General features: G+C 43.3%; 1 long non-coding RNA gene across 1 annotated transcript in view, besides 2 other annotated features; it reads right to left on the bottom strand.

Moving 5' to 3' along the window:
- LOC105371114 (uncharacterized) overlaps nt 1-7,807 on the bottom strand; it is a 39,276-nt gene extending 31,469 nt beyond the window's left edge. Inside the window, exon 1 of the long non-coding RNA NR_188657.1 lies at nt 7,451-7,807. This is a non-coding gene — a long non-coding RNA (uncharacterized LOC105371114). The remainder of the gene's footprint in view (nt 1-7,450) is intronic.
- Nucleotides 3,529-3,588: an enhancer, noted in NCBI's record as "active region_10529". NCBI's record gives its function as "activates an Ori minimal core promoter by ATAC-STARR-seq in GM12878 lymphoblastoid cells {active_cell/tissue: GM12878}" and the evidence as "EXISTENCE:reporter gene assay evidence [ECO:0000049][PMID:35858748]".
- Nucleotides 7,305-8,504: an enhancer, noted in NCBI's record as "CDK7 strongly-dependent group 2 enhancer chr16:19404552-19405751 (GRCh37/hg19 assembly coordinates)". NCBI's record gives its function as "activates an origin of replication core promoter dependent on BRD2, BRD4, P300/CBP, MED14 and CDK7 cofactors, with strong dependence on CDK7, by STARR-seq in HCT116 cells {active_cell/tissue: HCT116}" and the evidence as "EXISTENCE:reporter gene assay evidence [ECO:0000049][PMID:35650434]".

A 15,211-nucleotide genomic window follows, 5' to 3' on the forward strand; every position in this document is an offset into this window, starting at 1 on the left:
TGGATGACAGAGTGAGACCCTGTCTCTAACAATAATAAAAATAAAATAAAATAAAACAAAACAGCATGGAAAAGTCCAGGATCTTCAAATATTGCTGGAGTATTACTGCCAAGCCCAATGTAGTCAGAAGTAGGATTTGAACATTTAAATGCATCCTTTGCTGATTGGACAGAATGTAACCTTTAAAAATTATTTTCCTTCTTATACAAACAGCAGGGTTCCTTCTTCATCACTGAAGAATAAGATGGCATGCTTCAGACCACAGCATCAATGCCCATGCCAGGTAGCTTCACTTTGTGGTTCCTGGGTGATGGCTCTGTGTTCCCATCCAAATCTCATACTGAATTGTAATCCCCAGTGTTGGAAGTGGGGCCTGGTGGGAGATGATTGGATCATGGGGGTGGTTTCTAATGGTTTATCATCATCCTTCTAGTGGTGTCTTGTGACAGAGTTCTCCTGAGATCTTCTTGTTTAAAAGTGTGTAGCACTTCCCCTAAGCCTCTCTCCTCCTCCTTCTCCTGCCATGCAGATGTGCCTGCTTCCCCTTTGCCTTCTGCCATGATTGTAAGTTTCCTGAGGCCTCCCCAGCCATGCATCCTGTACAGACTGTGGAACTGTGAGCCAATTAAACCTCTTTTCTTTATAAATTAGCCAGTCTCAGGTATGTCTTTATAGCAGTGTGAGAACAGATGAATGCACTGGGCTTGTTTCTTGTGCTCAAAGGCCAAGTGTCATGGATATTAATTACCAAGTCACATGCTGGTCATAAACTTACATGATGTGCTCCCTGGAAACTAAGCTAGAAACTCACCAAGGAGGGTTTGGTGGCGTGGGGGTGCAGGTTGGGGGATCAAAGGAACTGATGAGAGGCACAGAGAATAGGAGACCTGGTTTCTTGCACTCTGCCCTGTATCACATTTCTGCTGGTGCTGAGGTTAATTGCACCACCTCTGGGAGTGATTTACTCAGGCTGTGATCCTGGCCCCAGCTCTGACTACTTGGTAATTGGCAAATTATTTGACACCTTTATGCCTAAGTTTCCTCATCTGTAAAATGGATGTGATAATAAGTGCTGTAATGTTTTTAAAAATAAATAAGGATAGGGTCTCGCTATGTTGCCCAGGTTGTTCTCAAATTCCTGGGCTCAAGCAATCCTCCTGCCTTGGCCTCCCAAAGTGCTGGGATTATAGGCATAAGCCACCATGCCCAACTGAGTAATATTTACTGCTGCATAACAAATTTACCCAAAATATAGCAATCTAAAACAACAAATAAGAATTTATTGTCTCTCACAGCTTCTATAGGTCAGGAATTCAGGAGCAGCTTAGCTTGGAGTTTCTGGCTCAGAAACTCAGGGTCTCTCATGAGTTTGCAGTTAAGATGTTGCAGGAGCTGCAGTCATCTGAAGGCTTGACTGGGGCTGGAGGACCTGCTTCCAAGGTGGCCAGACACATGGCTGTTCCTCTGTTCCCCTACACACAGGCATCTCCACAGGGCTAACTGTGGGTCCTTACAAAATGACAGCTGGCTTCTCCCAGAATGGGTAACTCAAGAGAGAGAAAGAGGAAGGAAGCAGCAGCAGTGTCTTTTATAACCTAGTCTTGGAAGTCACATGCCATCATTTCTCTGTTTTCCTTTTTTTGAGACAAGGTCTCACTCTGTAGCCCAGGCTGGAGTGCAGTGGTACAATCACAGCTCACTGTAGCCTCAACCTCCTGAGGGCTCAAGAGATCCTCCTGCCTTAGCCTCCTGAGTAGCTGGGACGACAGATGTGTGCCATTGCCACCATGCCAGTTAATTTTTAATATTTTGTAGAGGTGGGGTCTTACTATATTGCTCAGGCTGACATACCATTATTTCTACAATATCTTATTGGTGGCACATATTGGCCCTATTCACAGGGCATACACAAGAAGGTGAATACCAGGAGGGGAGGATCATTGAGAGCCATTTTGAAGGCTGTCTACCACAAGTATCTAACTCAAAGGGTTGCCATGGGGATTAAATGCGTTAGTATATGGAAAGAATCCTAGACCAAAGCTTATATACAGTAAATGTTTATAAATGTTAGTTTTTGTTATTATTGGCCCGTAGCATAGCAGTTTCACTACAGATACTGTCATTTTTAAGGTAATAATCTTTCTGTCTTCGTTTGTTTGTTTGTTTTTATCTGGTTACAGATTAAAATCAGCAATTATCTTTTTTTTTTCCTTTTTTGCCCATCTTCAATCTCAAAATCACCTATGGATTTTTGAGTTGAATGTTGTCTTTTAAAACAATTTTAAATGGTTTTGAACTTATGAAAATAATGCTTGTTGAAAAACTTGACAGAAATATGTATAACATGGCCAGGCACTGTGGCTCATGCTTGTAATCCCAACACTTTGGGATCACTTGAGGTCAGGAGTTTGAGACCCAACTGGGCAACAGGGCAAAACCCCATCTCTACTAAAAATACAAAAATTACCCAGGCATGGTGGCACGTGCCTGCAATCTCAGCTATTCGAGGGGCTGAAGCAGGAGAATCGCTTGAACACAGCAGGTGGAGGTTACAGTGAGCTGAGATCGTGCCACTGCACTCCAGCCTCGGCAACAGACCAAAAATCCATCTCAAAGAAAAGAAAAAAGACATATGTATAACATATGCTTGTTCTCAATAACACAGAAACAAGCAGAATAAAAAGTAGCATCCCTCTTCATACCTCTCTCGTGCTTCTCTTCCCAGAGGTAACCACTTTTAAGTTTATAGTCTTCTGACCACTTTGTCTTAAAAGACATGCTGTACTGGTATTAAATACATGGGATTATTGTGTTTATATGGGTCAGTGATTTAAGAATTGGTTGAACAGTTTATCTTGAAAATTATGCATGTTATAACAAGGCATTTAGATAATAGCCCCAAGCTCCACCTCACTCCTGCTGGCATGACCATTGTGAAATATTTTTTTTCTAGAGGGTAGGGGGATGTTTTCATATTTTGGGATATTACATAGGATGGAATAATGGAATTGTGATACAGCTGGATCTACAAATAGGCTGGTTGACTTCATTTCACATCTACAATGCAATATTGGAGAAAGGGTGTGAGCTCTGAATTGGAGACCGATCTGGATTTGAATGTTGGTTCTGATGCTTCCTAATGAGATGAGTTTAGGCAAGTTTTTCTTTGTTTGTCTGTCTGTATCTCTCAGTTTCCATATTTGCAAAGCCACCTCATGGATATGTTAAGTGAGGTCATGCATGATGTCAGGTGCAAAGTTGACTCCTAGCCTGAGGTGCTTAGTCCAGGTTAGCTCCCTTCCGTGGTCCAGGTTAGCACCTTTACTTTGCCCTAGGTTGGCTCCCTTTTCTTAGTTTTGGTTAGCACCGTTTCTTTGGTCTAGGTTAACACCCTTTTCTGCACCCCACTTCTGGAAAGACTGTGGGACTTCCCACAAGGGGGCGCAGGTACAAAGGTATTGCAGCCGGGAAGCAGAGCACAGTCCCTGCCCGTGGAGGCTAAGGGGCCACCTTTGTATGTCTCTGCTGTGTGCAAACACCATCCTCTCAGGAGAGGGCACAATAAAATGATCTCAGTTATGAGTGCTCCAGGGGTTGGCCACAGCTCTGTTCTCCCTCTGGGGAGCCTGTCTTCTAGTTGCTATGCAATTTTCCGTCCTTCTCTTCCCAAAGGCACTGAGTGAAATCCCTTTTGTGACCAGGAGCTTTAGTTTTTACCAACTTTAAAGTAGATGATGTCGTACTTCCAGTGTTTTCACTATCAGGTTAGCTGAAGAAATTTGGACAGAATCAAGGGCCACTCAAAAAATGCTTGCATGAACACAGTGTAACATGCTTATGAAACCGACCCAATAGATCCACACACAGACTTCTTTTTTTTCTTTAAACATGGAAATCGACTCTTCTGGTTGTTTCGTTGTTGTTGTTTTTATTTCGTTTTGTTTTTGTTTTTGATGAAGTCTCATTATGTTGCCCAGGCTGGAGTGTGGGGGCACAATCTCGGCTCACTGCAACCTCTACCTCCCGGGTTCAAGCCATTCTCCTGTCTCAGCCTCCCAAGTAGCTGGGATTATAGGTGTGCGCCACCACGCCCAGCTAATTTTTGTATTTTAGGTAGAGACGGGGTTTCACCATGTTGGCCAGGCTGGTCTCGAACTCCTGACTTCAAGTGACCTGCCCACCTCAGCCTCCCAAAGTGCTGGGATTACAGGCATGAGCCACCATGTCTGGCCGCTTCTGGTCTTAAAGCTTGAAACTTACATTTGTTTTGTCTGAGTTCCTTCCTCAGAAAACATCTTCAGACCTCTCAAAAAATAAAAAATAAATTTAAAAAAAAAACTATCAAAGAACTGAAACTCACAAGATCACCACATCAGAACAATGAGGTATGGGACCCCTCATTTATCATGATTGCTTCCTTGCCCCTTCCTGTTTTCTTATACATTGTTACATTTCTTCCCTGTTATGTAAACCCCTAGATTTAGTCAGTCAGGGAGATGGATTTGAGCCTGAGCTCCCATCTCCTTGGCTGCAGCACCTGATTAAAGCCTTCTTCCTTGGCAGTAGTCATTGTCCCAGTCATTGGCTTTCTGTGTGGTGAGCAGCAGGACCAAGACTGAACCCCTGGTATTTTGGTAACACTTAGATTTTTTAAATTATTTTTAAAAATCAGTTATTGTTATGTTCCAGGTCTTACCTCATTCAATGCTCAGAACCACCCTATGAGATAGGTACTGTCATTATTATTATTTTGATACATGGTCTCATTCTGTCACCCTGGCTGGAATGCAGTGGTGCAATCTCAGCTCACTGCAGCCTGGATCTCCAGGGCTCAAGTAATCCTTTCATCTCAGCCTCCCGAGTAGCTGGGACCACAGGTGCATGCCACCACACCCAGCTAAATTTTATATTTTTTGTAGGAATGGGGTCACACTGTGTCCGGAATTTATTCCTTCCAGTGGGTTCTTGGTCTCTCTGACTTCAAGAATGAAGCTGCGGACCCTCGCAGTGAGTGTTACATCTCTCAAAGATGGTGTGTCCAGAGTTTGTTCCTTCAGATGTTCAGATGTGTCCAGAGTTTCTTCCTTCCGGTGAGTTCGTGGTCTTGCTAACTTCAGGAGTGAAGCCGCAGACCTTCGCAGTGAGTGTTATAGCCCTTAAAGGTGGCGTGTCCAGAGTTGTTTGTTCCTCCCGGTGGGTTCGTGGTCTCGTTGACTTCAGGAATGAAGCTGCAGACCCTCACAGTGAGTGTTACAGCTTGTAAAGATAGTGTGGACCCATAGAGTGAGCAGCAGCAAGATTTACTGTGAAGAGTGAAAGAACAAAGCTTCCACAGTGTGGAAGGGGACCCGAGCAGGTTGCAGCTGCTGGCTGGGGTAGCCAGCTTTTATTCCCTTATTTGTCTGCACCCATGTCTTGCTGATTGGTCCATCTTACAGAGTGCTGATTGGTGCATTTTTACAGAGTGCTGATCGGTGCATTTACAATCCTTTAACTAGACACAGAGTGCTGACTGGTGCATTTTTATAGAGTGCTTATTGGTGCATTTACAATCCTTTAGCTAGACACAGAGCGCTGATTGGTGCATTTTTACAGAGTGCTGATTGATGCATCTACAATCCTTTAACTAGACACAGAGTGCTGATTGGTGCATTTACAATCCTTTAGCTAGACACAGAGCGCTGATTGGTGCATTTTTATAGAGTGCTTATTGGTGCATTTACAATCCTTTAGCTAGACACAGAGCGCTGATTGGTGCATTTTTACAGAGTGCTGGTTGGTGCATTTACAATCCTCTAGCTAGACAGAAAAGTTCTCCAAGTCCCCACTCGACCCACAAGTCCAGCTGGCTCCACCTCTCAACATGATGTTGCCCAGGCTGGTCCTGAACTCCTGTACTTAAGTGATCCACTGGCCTCAGGCTCCCAAAGTGCTGGGATTACAGGTGTGAGCCACCAAACACAGCTGGTACTATTATTAGCCCCATTTGATGAGTGAAAAAAATAGAGACAACAGAGAGGGCTGACAACTTTCCCAACATCACACAGCCAGGAAATGCTGGCGGCAAGTTTCAAAGTCTTTTCTATCCAAACTCCACAGCTTGCAGGTCTTAACTGCTGCATATGTAGACTTTCTGCTCGAGATAAAGACAACTGGACTTGGAATTAAAACACATGGTTGAATCACTGTTCTTTACCACTGAGTAAACTGATCATGGGAAAGTCCCCTGGTTTTATCCATTTCTTGATAAAAAACTGAAGTCTGGGGAGAGTATGAATTTTTTTGTTTTGTTTTAGAGACAGGGTCTCACTCTATTGCATAGGCTGGAGTGCAGTTGTGTGACCATAGCTCCCTGCAGTCTCTAACTCCTGGGCTCAAGTGATCTGAGTTGCTGGGGCTACAGGCATGTGCCACCATGCCTGGCTAATTTATTTGTTTTAGAGATGAGGTCTCAGTATGTTGCCCAGGCTGGTCTCAAACTTCTGGCCTTAAGCAATCCTCTCACTTCAGCCTCCCAAGTTGTTGGGATTACAGGGGCAATCCACCATGTCTGGGAAAAGTATGAATCTTAACTCCACTGAGAGCACTCTCACCGGGTTGTGTGTCATATCCAATAATGGGTGTGAAAGTGCTCGGCAAACTGTAAAACAAGGTACACCCATATTAAGGGTGTGTTGACAAAGTTGAAGCTGATGATGATGATGGCCAGGAAACAATCAGTCAGGGACTATAGGGTTCTCATCAAATTTGGGGGTTGCTTTATTTTTTTCTCCTTTCTTACTTTTAGCCCCAGGGACCATATTCATTCAATAGATATTGAATACCTACTATGTGCCAGGCACCATCCTAGGCACTGGGGATTCAACAACAGACAACAGAACAGAGCAAAGTCCCTGCCCTCTGGGAGCCCACATTGTAGAGACAAGACACACATGCATCTATAATGTGTCAGGCAGGGACGAGTGCTTTGGAAAATAATAAAGCAGAAGCCGGGTGTGGTGGCTCATGCCTGTAATTGCAGGCTCCCACCAAGGTGGGAGGATCACTTGAGGCCAGGAGTTCAAGACCAGCCTAGGCAACATAATGAGACCCTGTCTCTACTAAAAATTTTTAGAAGTTAGCCAGGCATAGTGGTGCACGTCTGTAGTCCCAGCTACTCAGGAGGCTGAGGCAGGAGGATCACTTAAGGCCAGGAGGTCAAGGTTGCAGTGAGCTAGGATTGTGCCACAACACTCTAGCATGGGCAATTTCAGGGGTCCCTGAAGTCCCCTCCTTTTCCAGAATACCTAATGATTATTCCACCCCCTAATTAAAGAAACACCAAATAAAATTAGAAACCCAAACTCTGTTTGCGTGACTCGTTCTCACGAGCATGCACCCACTTCTCTCTTAAGTGCAGACTTTTGCTTTCCAATAAAAGCTTCTTGCATTTCACTTCATTCTGACTCACCTGTGAATTCTTTCTTGTGATGATGTCAAGAATCTGGGGACCGGCTGTGGCTGGGGTCTCGTTGGCATCCAGAAACCCTCCTGAGCCCTCTTGTGACACCAGGATTTGCCGACAGAGCAAATGTGAGGAGAGGCATCAGAATTTCTCTAAGACTTCTGAGCTGAGCAACCATCTAGAAGGTTGGAGCTGCTTTATTTGGTGGGGAATGTTAGGGAAACCAGCCCCACACCACCCAGTGGGTACCCTGAGTCTGGTGGAGACATAGGAGTTAGAAAGAGACAGAATAAGCATTTAAAAGGCGGGTTCAGGGGACCAGAATATCGGAGGCTTGCTCACGGCCCAGAGCTCTTGAGCTCTGCCAAATTTACTGGTTTACAAGCTCTTTGTTCTTAGGGCAGATGGGAGGGGGAGGAAGGGATGAGGAAAAGGATTAATCAGTGAAGGAGAACTCGTGAGTCATTCCATAAGATGTGTAGCAGTGGCGGTTTCTGTGAATTTCCTTGAGCAAAGGCGTGTGTCTAAACTACTTAAGATCTTTAGCTTATCAGGACTGAAATGGGTGGGAGCGGGTTTAAGGAGGAGCCAAGATGTTTGATTATACTCCACTGCTTCAAGGGAGTGTTGTCTCCCTGAGCAACCTGTGGAATGCTGCTGAGTGGTTATGCTCTTGGGGCATAAAGACATGAAAGCAATAAGGAGACTTTTCTCCCCAGAGGCTGCCCATGGCTTCCCATGGGTGTCTCACACAGGGGAGACCAACTCAACTGGCACCCCAGAAACACTTTCCCACATGTTCCCCTTTTTTGCCTCTATTGATTTTTTTTTATTAATAACTGCCATTGCTATTATGGCTCATTCATGGTGTCTGGTTTCTCTCCCAAGGCACCATCTGCATCTGTAGACTAAAAACAAGCAACATAAACAGACACAAACCAAAATAAAATTTGCAATTGTTGATCCACCTATGGTTTCAATCCACTTTAAAGGATTGGTATTAGAAAGGCCATCAGAGGCTCCAGCAAGAATATCAGCTCCAGGCAATAGGGTGAGATGAGCCTGAGATGCCTCAAAAACTTGTTTTTTCAGTTTAGCAATATCTAATGTTAAATTATCTTTTTTTCCTTGTAGGTGACGTCTAATCGTCTCTCACTGGTGTTCAATGGCATTATAAGAGCTAGGAGTAAAACAAAAATCGGAAGTATTCCAGTCACATTGTTTTTGAATTCTATGCTCCAAGCTCATAATCCAATCTCCCATCCAAATTACTGTTTGACAGAGATCATTAATTTGATTTGCCAATTTTTGACCTATTTGGCTTTGGGAATTCCAAAGCTTAGAAGAATTTTTCTGCCAACTATCCACAAAGCCCGCTGTTTGAATAGAAGAGTGCAAAGCAACACCAGCAGCAGCAGCAGTAGCTGTGACAGCTATAAGGCCCATGATCACAGCTATTAAAGTAAATATGAATCTCTTTGATCTATTAAGTATTCCTTTTAGTACTTCCGTGATAATATGTATGGAGGGAGAGGCCTCCCAAGGTCTATTGAGGGAAACAGTTATTCAAACTCCTTGGGCCCTAACCGGTAAAATGCTATTATCTTTATTAAAGGTAGAATTAATGCAGGTAAAAAGATGACAGTTGAGGCATGATATGGTTTGAGAGTCAGTTAGGATATTAATTTTTCCCACTGCCAACATAAAAGGAGGTTTAACAAAACTCTGCAATGGGAATGTCTGATTAGAGGTCATGGCTACGACAAATCAAAGTTTTTTTTACTAAGGGTCTTTGTTTTATATTCTCCTTTCCAAATCCGAATTGGGGTTTGAGCCATCATTAATTTCCACAATTCTAGATGTTCTGGACTTATAATTGGATCAATCATTTTTGGGCTTGAAAGAGCCATACCGTTCTCCTCCCACTTAATAGGTTAATTTGTTTTAATTCTTCTATATAATTTTGGTGCATTATCTGGGTAGTTGTTTGCAAAAGGAGTCTCTCTACCATCTTCGCACTGTCCAGTACAATTTACTGCAAAGCGTCCCATAGGGGCCCAATCAATGACGATTCCATAGGAATTACTTTGCAGTACAGCAGTGCTGTTTGCAATACAATCTTCCCAGGTTAGCACCTCTAGCTTTCCAGACCATTTAGTGGCCTTCCTAGGGCAGGGCTTCTTATTAGGTTTATATTTATTAATCTGGCGATGTGTCATAACATAGCCGTGCTCAAGGTATTTAATAGTGTCCAAAGATTGAAATGTTCTTCCACTGATTGCATGAATAGGGGCTTTTGATCCATTATTTGCAGGGACACAAGTCATCCAACTTTGTTTATCATAATTTAAACATCCTGCTGCCGGCCCCAGGCAGATGGAAGGAAAGTGATAACCAATGGAAACATTCATTAACATTCCTTCCTCCTCTGGATGAGTAGGGCCTCGGTTATCTATTGGTCCAGGCATCCAGATACTATCATTAACATGGGGTCTAACCATGTAACAGGCCTAATCAGTGGTGGGAATGGAATGTAGGCCCAGTAAGTGTAATTTTGATCTGCCTCAGCTATGGGGAGACTCACTGCAGGGAGATTACCACCATCATAGCTACCATTAGATTACTGGTGGTCAGCAGCTTGTTCAGAGACCTCAGGTTCTCTTCTGCAATGTGAGCTAGGCTCTTCACCTGCCCCCAGGTCAGTGGAGTTGCTTGGCGAGTTTTACTGGTTTCCATCTGCTCAACAGAGATGTTCATCTGAGCCATCTGATGAACTGGGGGTGCAGGGATGTTCCGAGGTCTTTTCCTCTTCCTTGGATTCTGGCTCATGGCACAGCTTAAGATGTCTTGTGGGCACCCAGACAGGAAGCTGATTCTCTTCTGGTGAGATACAAGAAAACCCTTGACCCCATGTAATGATTTTGCCCTTTTCCCAGGTTTTGGTTCTGATGTCCTTCCACCACACATGTTTTCCTTCATAAGCATTTATTTTTTGCCTTGTCAAATGCTGCTCTGCTGCCATTGTAACGTGATCTCTAGACAAATTCAGAAAATGTGAAGTGATAAGAGCCAATTGTAGCTGCATATAAGGAGTAGCGTATTCTCTGGTTTCCCCCTCTGTCTTTTGTTTTTGTAATTGAGATTTTAAGGTTCGATTAGCCTGTTCAACAGTGGCTTGACCTTGAGAATTATAGGGTATTCCAGTACTGTGCTCGATGTTCCACTGTTAAAGGAACGCCTGTAAAGATTTACTACAGTAGCCTGGGCCATTGTTTGTTTTAATCTTTTGTGGGATGCCCATGGCAGCGAAACAGGGAAGTAATGTCTTAATATGAGCAGCCGCCTCGCCTGTTTGGCAAGTTGCCCATACAAAATGAGAAAAGGTATCTATAGTAACATGGACGTATGAAAGTTTCCCGAACAAAGGTACATGGGTTAGGTCCTTTTGCAACAACATATTGGGGGTTAATCCCTGTGGGTTAACACCAGTCCTTTCACGTGGCAGTTGTACTACCTGGCACTGAGGGCAATGTTGCACAATGCCCTTTGCCTGTCTCCAAGTAATTTGTTATTTTTGTTTAAGTCCTGCTGCATTAACGTGTTAGGGAGTGAAAATCTTGGACATTAGTAAGCACAGTGGAAATTAATAAATCAGCTTGATCATTAGCCCTTACAAGGGGCCCAGGAAGATTAGTGTGTGCTCAAATGTGTGTAATATAGAAAGGAAAACGGTGATCATGCACTGCCTTTTGTAAAGAAGAAAACAGCTGATAGAGTTGTTCATCCACCAGATATTTAATGAGTGCAGTTTCTATGTGTTGAGTGGCTTGAACAACATAAGCTGAATCAAAGACAATATTTACAGTTTGCTTAAAGTTTTCGAACACACCTATAACTGCCTGTAATTCAGCCTTCTGTGCCGATTGAAAGTCAGTTTGAATAATTGTGTTTTTAGGTCGTACGTAAGCTGCTTTTCCATTACTAGAGCCATCTGTAAACACAGTCACTGCTCCTTCCAATGGAGCACTACGGGTAATTTTTGGAAGGACCCATGTTAGCTTTAAAAACTGAAAAATTTTGTTTTTTGGATAATGATTGTCAAGAACTCCAATGAAGCCAGCTAAATTTATTTGCCAATTGACCGAATTAACAAAGGCTTGCCAAATCTGATTTTATTCATTGGAATTATAATCTTATCTGGATCTGAGCCACAAAGTTTAACAACTCTAAGGCAAGCTTGCTCAATCAAGATTGCCATCTGATCCAAGTATACTGTGAGTGTTCTAACAGTATTGTGAGGCAGAAAAGACCATTCAACTAAGTCCTCACTCTGAGCTATAACCCCTGTAGGAGAATGGAGAGTAGGGAACACAATGAACTGTAATGGTAAACTTGACTCTATTCTATTAACCTGGGCCTGTTGTATTTTTTCTTCAATTATTTGTAATTCTTTGTCAGCCTCAGGAGTCAGTTATCATTTACTATTGAGAGCAGGGTCTCCTCTTAAAATAGAGAACAGATTAGACATAACATGGTAGGGATTCCCAAAGTAGGTCAAATTCAACTGATATCCCCTAATAATTTTTGAAAATCATTTAGTTTTCAGAGAGTCTTTTCGAATTTGAACCTTTTGGGGTTTAATTGCCCTTTCCTGAACCTGCATTTCCAAATATTGGAAAGGAGTGGCCGTTTGAATTTTATCTGGTGCTATGAGCAATCCAGCATTGGCTAGCACCTCCTGTAAATATGAATAACACTGGATAAGTTGGTCTCGATTTTCAGCCGCACACAATATGTCATCCATATAATGAATGACATATGAATCGGGAAACTGATCTCTCACAGGTTGAACATCCTTCCCCGCAAAAGTTTGACAAATAGTAGGACTATTCAACCTACCCTGCGGCAAGACTTTCCAATGATATCTGGCTGCTGGTTCCTTGTTGTTCATAGCAGGAATAGTAAAAGTAAATTTCTCAAAATTGGACTCTGCTAGAGGAATATTAAAAAAGCAATCCTTCAAATCTATAATTATTAATGGCCAGTCTCTAGGAATCATGGTGGGCGATGGAAGCCCTGGCTGCAGGGCCCCCATCAGCTGGATGACTGCATTGACCGCTCGTAAGTCGGTTAGCATGAACCATCTGCTGGATTTTTTCTTTATTACAAACACTAGCGAATTCCATGGAGGAAATGTGGGCTCAATGTTTCCTTTGTTTAATTGCTCTTTGACTAATTCCTGTAAGGCCCCCAATTTTTCCTGAGAAAGTGGCCCCTGCTCAACCCAAACAGGATTTTGGGTCTTCCATTTTAAGGGAATAGAACTTGGAGACTCAACAGTGACCAGCCCTAAAAATGGTAACCTAATCCTTTTCAGTCATTTTTTACAGTAACTTGTATGGGTTCAATAATGCCAGCCCCCTGTCTTCCTAGGCCTTTTCTGGGAACATAGCCCATGTTTGACATTATTTTTTGACTAGCTTGACCAAACTGGGGAGAAGGGATTGAAATTTCTGTGCCCCATTGCTGAAGCAGATCTCTCCCCCATAAGTTATCAAGAATGGGCATAATTAGAGGTTGTAGTGTGCCTTCCTGTTCTTCTGGACCAAGACATGGTAAGATAAAAGTACTTTGGAAAACTTCTGAAGCAATTCTGACCCCAACAAGACCTACTGGGGCCTTTTGTTTGGGCCAGTTTTTTGGCCATTGATAAAGAGCTATGATCGACACGTCTGCTTCTGTGTCCACCAGACCCTCAAATTGTTTTCCTTGAATAGTAACCATACAAATAGGTCTATTGTCAGAGACTTGATGTACCCAATAGGTAGCATTGCCTGCTGAATTTGTGTTCCAAATCCTCCTGTTCTTTTTTCTGAGCTTTCTCCTAACTTAACATATGGTAAAAGCAACAGTTGAGCTATTCTGTCACCTTGATTAGCACTCCAGGGAACAGTGGAGGAGATAACAATTTGAATTTCTCCCTGGCAATCAGAGTCCACTACTCCAGTATGTACTTGAATTCCCTTTAAGTTTAAGCTGGACCTTCCCAGTATAAGTCCCACCGTGCCATTTCACAATGGGCCATAAACTTCCACTGGGACCTTCCTAGGAGGCTCCCCAGGAAGGAGGGATATGGCTTCGGTACAGCATAAATCTACTGCCCCACTTTTAGCTGTGGAGGGGGACAATTCCTGTACATTCATACAGGGATAGACTGGGCTGAGGACACTCCGTTTGGAGTTGGGGACATCCCATCCTGAATTGGGAATGCCCCATTTTGAATCGGGGCCCAGGGCTGGCCCTTCTGTCCGTTTCCTGGCAAGTTCTGTCTGTCTGCTGTCATCAAACTTTGAATGACATTGATTAGCACAGTCTTTTCCTTTTTTACTTCTAGGAAAGGTACTTGGTTCCCTGCTTTTTCCTCCTGAGTTTTGCCTTTTTTGGCTCTTTGTACACTCTCTTTTTGTATGTCCTATCTGTCCACAATTATAGCAAGATCCAGGGCACACTCATATGTTTTTTGTTACCCTTAGTCCAGCCATTCCTTGAGCAAGGAGGCTGGCCTTATATAAGTGCCTGCCAATGCCATCACAGGCTTTAATGTATACTCTTAAAGTTTTTTCCTCATTTAGATCTGCCTTTCCCTTAATAGGTCTAATTGCTGCCTGACATTCTGTATTAACATTTTCATAAGCAAGTAGCTGGACGATCACTTTCCTGGCATGAGAATCCAAAATAGCCTTTTGAGCCACATCTTGCAAATGAATGATAAAATCTGGATAAGGCTCCCTTCGACCCTGTCAAACTGAGTTAAAAGAAGGATAAGTAGTACCAGGGTAGTGAATTTTTTCCCAGGCTCTTAGGCATATAGTTCTGAGCTGATCAACAGCCTCATCACCCATTACCATCTGTTGATTTAGAGTACCCCATGCCTGTCCACTTCCAAGCAATTGATCAGATGTGATATTAATGAAAGTTTGGGCTTGAGCATTTCTGCATGCCTGATTTATTGCTTCATCCATCCACCAGGTTTTAAATTGGAGAAATTGAGAGGGGGCAGGGTGGATCAGGCTAATGTCTCCCAATCCATAGGTATTAAATGCTGGTTATACGCCACAGATTGTAACAAGGAATGAACATAAGGAGAATTTGGCCCATATTGTCCAACTGCTTGCTTTAAGTCTTTTAATATTTTAAAAGGAAATGGCTCCCAGCACGCTTGAGCATGTTCTCCAGGCTCCTCAGCTGGCGAAATAATTACCAGAAACTGCCAAGCATCCAAATCCCCCATTTCTCATGCCTGGCAAATGGATGCCTGGATTATCCCTGCGCCATAATATGTATTTGGGCCGGTTCACAGCATTCCTCTACCATAATTAACAGGTGGACCAACCTGGATCATTCCCTCACTGTAATTGGCTGTTGGGCAAGACTGAAGCTTCCCTTTGCCATAGTTAATGGTGGGGCGTGCAACAATGGGAGTGGCAAGCTGCGTCTCAGGCTCTCGTTACAAAAATTCATAAGGCTGAGGCAGGGGTGGCCGTTCCGGACCTTCCCCTAAAGGCGCAGTAGGTGGCACTGTTTCTTCAGTAGGTGGAACTGTTTCTTTCATAAGTTTTTGGAGGTTAGCCCATGTAGCTTCCTGTTTCTCCCCCTTTTTTAAACTAGACTGTGATGGTTCACTTTGCTGATCATCAGACTCATGATTATTAAACTTTTGTATGTCATCCTGAAACTCCTCCTCCTCAGTGTAGAAGGGCTCCAGTG

This window comes from Homo sapiens, chromosome 16, assembly GCF_000001405.40.
Source record: "Homo sapiens chromosome 16, GRCh38.p14 Primary Assembly".
Classification (NCBI taxonomy): Eukaryota; Metazoa; Chordata; class Mammalia; order Primates; family Hominidae; genus Homo; species Homo sapiens.